This window comes from Homo sapiens, chromosome 9, assembly GCF_000001405.40.
Source record: "Homo sapiens chromosome 9, GRCh38.p14 Primary Assembly".
Classification (NCBI taxonomy): Eukaryota; Metazoa; Chordata; class Mammalia; order Primates; family Hominidae; genus Homo; species Homo sapiens.
In genome coordinates, this window is record NC_000009.12 from 104,965,019 (window position 1) to 104,971,418 (window position 6,400).

At 45.6% G+C, this 6,400-nt stretch overlaps 2 annotated features.

The window, feature by feature from the left end:
- Nucleotides 3,142-3,191: an enhancer, noted in NCBI's record as "active region_28734". NCBI's record gives its function as "activates an Ori minimal core promoter by ATAC-STARR-seq in GM12878 lymphoblastoid cells {active_cell/tissue: GM12878}" and the evidence as "EXISTENCE:reporter gene assay evidence [ECO:0000049][PMID:35858748]".
- Nucleotides 3,272-3,321: an enhancer, noted in NCBI's record as "active region_28735". NCBI's record gives its function as "activates an Ori minimal core promoter by ATAC-STARR-seq in GM12878 lymphoblastoid cells {active_cell/tissue: GM12878}" and the evidence as "EXISTENCE:reporter gene assay evidence [ECO:0000049][PMID:35858748]".

Genomic DNA, 6,400 nt, shown 5'->3' on the forward strand with positions numbered 1-6,400 from the left:
GACTCCGTCTCAAAAAAAAAAAAAAAATTTCTCTTTGTGGAGTTGGGGTCTCTCTATGTTGCCCAGGCTGTTCTTGAACTCCTAGCCTCAAGTCATCCTTCCACCTCAGCCTCCCAAAGCTGGGATTCAGGCCTGAGTCACCACACCTGGCTGACAAAACTTGATATTATTGTTCTTTTAAATGTTTCCAATCAAATAAGTGTGAAACAATTTTTTGTTGTTTTAATTAGTATTTTTCCATGATTACCAGTGAGGATAAAAATCTTCTCACATTAGCCATTCAAAGTTCCTCTTCCAGGAATTGCCAAATTATGTCTTTTTTCATTTGATATTGTATCATTAAAATGTATCACTTGTCTTTGTCTTATTGATGTATATAATGTTAAATGTTCTGAACACTAATCCTTTGTCTCTCTTTGAGTTATAAGTATCTTTCTAGTCTGTGCCTTGTCTTTTCACTTTCATGTTTTCTATTGTTAATGTACAGAAGTTTTGTGTGCTTACTTGTTTTTGTTTGTTTGTTTGTTTGTTTGTTTTCTGAGGCGGAGTCTCACTCTGTTGCCCAGGCTGAAGTGCAGTGGTGCGATCTCGGCTCACTGCAACCTCCGCCTCCCAGGTTCAAGCGATTCTCCTGCCTCAGCCTCCCAAGTAGCTGGGATTACAAGCACCCACCACCATGCCCAGCTAATTTTTTGTATTTTTAGTAGAGATGGGGTTTCACCACATTGGCCAGGCTGGTCTCAAACTCCTGACCTCAAGTGATCCGCCTGCCTTGGCCTCCCAAAGTGCTGGGATTATAGGCTTGAGCCACTGTGCCCGGCCTATGATTTTCAATGAAGTTTTGTATTTTGCTCTGTAAAGCTTTTGCATGTCTTTTTTTTTTTTAACCACTGTAAGTGGTATCTTTTATCAAATTAATGTTGGTCCTTTGTTGGTGGTGATAGAAATAAAATTGATTATTGTACAATTGCAGTTTTTTCTCCCAGCTGTTCTCACTTAAAAGGGTTAGTAATTTGTTAGTTATCTTGAAATTTTCTTGTACACAATAACATTGTCTTATATCTTACAACTTCTTGTCTTACTGCGGGTGGAGGGGGGGCTAGGACTTGATAAATTAAATGTATAATAGAAAAGCAAGTAGCCAGAAGGCTTGTTCTATTCCTGATTATAAAGAGAACTTCTGGCCCAGAGCAGTGGCTCACACCTATAATCCCAGCACTTTGGGAGGCCGAGGCGGGGAGATCACTTGAGGCCAGGAGTTCCAGACCAGTTTGGCCAAAATAGAGAAACTTCAACAATTAGTCTGGCATGGTGGCCCATGCCTGTAATCCCAGCTATTTGGAAGGCTGAGGCATGAGAGAATCACTTGAATCTGGGAGGCAGAGTTTGCAGTGAGCTAAGATCCCACCAATGCACTCTAGCCTGGGCAACAGAGTGAGACTCCATCTCAAAAAAAAAAAAAAAGAAGAACATTTGAGAATCACGCCTATAATCCTAGCACTTTGGGAGGCTGAGGCCAGTGGATCACAAGGTCAGGAGTTTGAGACGAGCCTGGCCAACATGGTGAAAGCCCGTCTCTACTAAAGATACAAAAAATCACACAGGTGTGGTGGCGTGCATCTGTAATCTCAGATACTCAGGAGGCTGAGGCAGGAGAATCACTTGAACCCAGGAGGTGGAGCCGAGATCGCGCCATTGCACTCCAGCCTGAGCAACAGGGCGAGACTGTATCTCAAAAAAAAAAAAAAAAAAAGGAAAAATCTAAATATTACTAAATATCGCAAGTATTGCTTCCTCCCTTTTAATGTTTCACAGTGTATGGGGGGTTTGTTCAGAACACAATAGCTGCTCTAGTGATCAAAATCACTATACATCAACTATTATTTCAATTTTTCAGTATGCCTATTGCTGGGCTGCCCCACACAAAGAACAAATAAAAAATTATGTATCTTGTTAACTTTTGCCAAGTTGGCCAATTTCATGTTATCCATAAATGCCACACTAAAGAGAGTGAACACACACATGGTCATAAAACAGCAGGCTGAAGCTAACTCCAAAAACAAAGAAAAAATCCAACGCTAAACCATTCTGCATTTAAGTTCCCAAATGACTCCCATGGAGGCCCTTAAATTGTATTTGTTTGGAAAAAACAAACAAACAAAAACAAAAGGAGTTCATCGTTAGCATGTGGAGGATGTTCATTAGCGGCTGTAAGAAATCACGGTCTAAACTACACCGTTCAAGAAACCCACTACAGTCGTGCAGACCAATAGCACTATTCTAGAAGGTAGCTATCCCTCGTGCCCTCTAAGAACCATCGTTTTGCATCGTTAGCAAGAAGCAAAGAGTAGATCTTAAACCTCTTTAAACTTCTCTGCGTCCTATTCAAAAATTAGGATACCACTTAACTCTGCACTTTAAAAAAGGATTTCAAGTGTGCTGCATTTTAAAGACACTTCATTACAAAAGTTAGAAAATTAAAGTATAAAACTTATCAAAACAAGTTTTTACGTTTTCAGGATGATTCACTGCAGAATTTCTTTAAACAGACTCCCCTCTTTTTTGTGTGTTGAGTCTTTAGGGAAAATAAGTGATAGTAAACATCAACCACAGACACCTGCAAACTAGGAAAAAAAATAGGGTTGCTTGGACATGGTAGGGAAAATAATTTATTTTCACAGAAATTTAGCCGGGCGCGGTGGCTCACGCCTGTAATCCCTGCACTTTGGGAGCTCAAGGTGGGTGGATCACCTGAGGTCAGGAGTTCAAGACCAGCCTTGCTGACATGGTGAAACCCAGTCTCTACTAAAAATACAAAAATTAGCTGGGTGGTAGTGGCACGCGCCTGTAATACCAGCTACTTGGGAGGCTGAAGCAGGAGACTCTCTTGAGCCTGGGAGGCAGAGGTTGCGGTGAGCCGAGATCGCGCCACTGCACTCCAGCCTGGGCAACAGGGTGAGACTACGTCTCAAAAAAAAAAAAAAAAAAAAAAAAAAAGAAGAAGAAATTTAACATACAGGCGATTTTTCAGGTTCTCATTTGCTAAACCAACAATGCAGAATTTGTGAAGTAGGGGCAACAAGTTGCTGAACCTGAGAGACGCCTCTAAATGCGCTCAGAGGTTATTTCAACTGTGCTGTTTGCTAGTTCAGGTACAACAGGCAAGACAGAAAGATGCCACCGCTCTCTCCACCCTCCCAGCGCCGGATCACAGAGCGCAGACCATGCACCCAGCCTTCCACACACGTCGCGATCTCGCCGCTTTAAGCTGCTGGGTACCCTCGGCCCGCCCACAAGAAGGCGGGGCGGCGCGGGGTCTGCTGGGAGTTGTAGTTTCGGGCCGGGCCCGAGAGCTTCTTGACTCGTTTCCTTCTACCCCCACCGCCGCACAGCTGCCTATGGACTCTGGAGTTGCTGTGTATTGAGCATGGGGCACAGCCGGGGGTAAAAGGGGAGAAGGCTCCTTTAATCTGCGGATCGGGGCGCCGTTGATGAGTGTTAGAGGTGTTGGAACGCAGAGTAAGCGGCGCGCATGCGCGGCTGCCGGAGGTGGGGGCCGCTCCTCCCGTGCCACTCAGGGGCTGGCTGCTGCCTTAGGGCTGACTGGGCTCATAGGTAGGGCCTGCGGTGCAAGTTTGTGATAACACTGCCTGTAGGCTGCGGTTGTTAAGGCAGAGATTTGAAGGGGGTCGGTTGGGGGTGCTGGGTAGTGTCAGTAATCAAGGGTTTTAATCGCTACTCCATCCTGGCTTTCGGGAACCTCCCACCTCCTACCCTTTCCCAGTTTGCAGAATTGCAGCTTTCCCCATCCCCCACCCCGATCGCTTCGTGGGAAGCCTTTCCATACTGTGTTGTGAAATCCGTTAGACCTCAGCCAAGGCCTTTTAGCCCGCCCGGAATTCAAGCTGCCCCCTCCTTGCCAAATCCAGATCATGCGAGACAACAAAAGGCTTGAGGCACAAGCCCTACAAGGCAGTGCCCCTGCCAGTTCTCCTAAACTTATTGTTTACCCTGCCCTCTTCTTCCCCTGCAAATTCAGACAGCCAGGCGATAGATTAGATAAATAGATTCCATGTCCTTACATTTGCAACAGGCTTTCATAGATTCCTTTGCTCTGGAAGGTGGCATCATTATACAAAAGGACAAGTGAGAACACACGAATGTAATCAGTGGCAGAACCCTGGGACTGAACCCTACAGGAGTTCTAAGTCTATTGTTTCTCCTACCACTTCACAAATGTGTCAGAAAGAGCTGAATGAGGTGACCAGCTGCACCTGACGCTAGCTGGCTTTCGGAATGCTCAGGCCCTGGGCCCTTGGCTCACCACAACCACTCTTAAATTGACTAACAATTGCCCCTTAGTGAGTGACCTCTCCAGCAAGCCCGGAGGATTTTGCCCAGGGTAATGTTTCACATTGAGCACATACTTTGTGCTGGGCCCTGGAAAGGATGTACATCAGATCTTAAGTTAAAAGTTTCCTTTCCCCCAGGGAGACCAGGCTGTCCTATCAAGTATTCTGTATTTCCCAAAGGATAGTATTAGCCACACTTTGTTATATGATTGCTTGTTTGCCTGTTTTCTTTTCTTTTCTTTCTTTATTTCTTTGAGACAGGGTCTCCCTCTGTCACCCAGGTTGAAGTGCAGTGGTGCGATCATAGCTCACTGCAAGTTCAGACTCCTGGGCTCAAGCGATCCTTCTCCCACCTCAGCCTCTGGAGTAGCTGGAAGTACAGGCGTGCACCACCATGCCCAGCTAATTAAAAAAAAAAAATTTAGAGGAGGTCTCACAATGTTACTCAGGCTGATTTCAAACTTCTGGGCTCAAGTGATCCTCCTGCTTCAACGTCCCAAAGTTCTGGAATTACAGACACGAGCCACCCTACCTGGCCTGCCTGCCTTGCTTGAGAAGCTGCAGCACTATTTTGTTCACCATTGTATTAGCAGTGCTAACATATAGTGGCCTTTTCATACATGTCAAATAGACATATAAATGATGAATGCATGAGTCCAGTGTCTGACCTTCATGTCTGTGCCCAGAGTCTGTTGGGAGAGGTGGAGATGAAAATAGAGGTAGGCTGGGCACAGTGGCTCACACTTGTAATCCCAGCACTTTGGGAGGCCGAGGCGGGCAGATCATGAGGTCAAGAGATGGAGACCATCCTGGCCAACATGGTGAAACCCTGTCTCTACTAAAAATACAAAATTAGCTGGGCATGGTGGCACATGCCTGTAGTCCCAGCTACTCGGCAGGCTGAGGCAGGAGAATCGCTTGAACTTGGGAGGTGGAGGTTGCAGTGAGCCGAGATCGCTCCACTACAACCTGGTGACAGAGTGAGACTCCGTACCCCCCGCCACCAAAAAAAAAAAAAAAAGAAGAAGAAAATAGAGGTACATGTTTATACAAAGTTTGGAACAGGAAGGCAGATGCACATAACTGCCTGGCGTGGTTCCAAAAACCTGAATGGAGAAGGCAGTATCTGCTAATGGGGGCTCTCTGCTAAGCTTTGGAATTGTCCATTATTGTATTAGCATATAAGAAGTTATCACACCAAAGGCTCCCCATGAGCCTTGCCTGGGAAAGGGACTGATTATTTAAGAGCCAACCAGCACAGGTACGGAGATGCTACCCTCTTCTAGGTGGTCATCTGGAGAAGCTGTGCTTTCCAGGGACTCTGGATTTCTTCAAATATCCTTGGAATGCTCCTTGTGGAAATGGCTTTTGAATCTACAGCACATTCTTTTGGACCTCCTCAGCACAGGAACATCTCGTTCCTTTAGGGATTTGATAGTTGGGAAGAGCCAGAAGTCACTTGGCTGGAGGTCTAGAGTATGAGGAAGATGATCATGCTGCATAATAGCTGCTGTTGAAATTTGAAGGAAGGAGTTAGTATGCTGACATAGGGCAAGAGTTCTCATCCTGGAGTGTGTGGAAGTTTTTAAGTATATGTGTATTTTTGTCTATTTATTTTTGAGACAGGGTCTCACTCTGTCACCCAGGTTGGAGTGCAGTGGTATTATCTTGGCTCACTGCAACCTCTGCCTCCCAGGCTCAAGGGATCAATCCTCCCAGCTCAGCCTCCCAAGTAGCTGGGACCACAGGTGTGTACCACCATGTCTGGCTAAATTTTTGTATTTTTGGTAGAGACTGGTTTCACCATGTTGCCCAGGCTGGTCTTGAGCTCCTGAGCTCAAGTGATCCACCTGCCTCGGCTTCCCAAAGTGCTGGGATTACAGGCGTGAGCCCCCACACCTGGCTGTATGTGTTCTTTACTGAGGGATCCTGTTTTTAGCTTTAACAGATTTTCCCCAAGGACTCCATGATTCAAAGAAATGAACAACTACTGCTATAGATTCAGGAGATCTTAGGAATTCTTAGGAGAATCCTAAGAAATCTTAGGA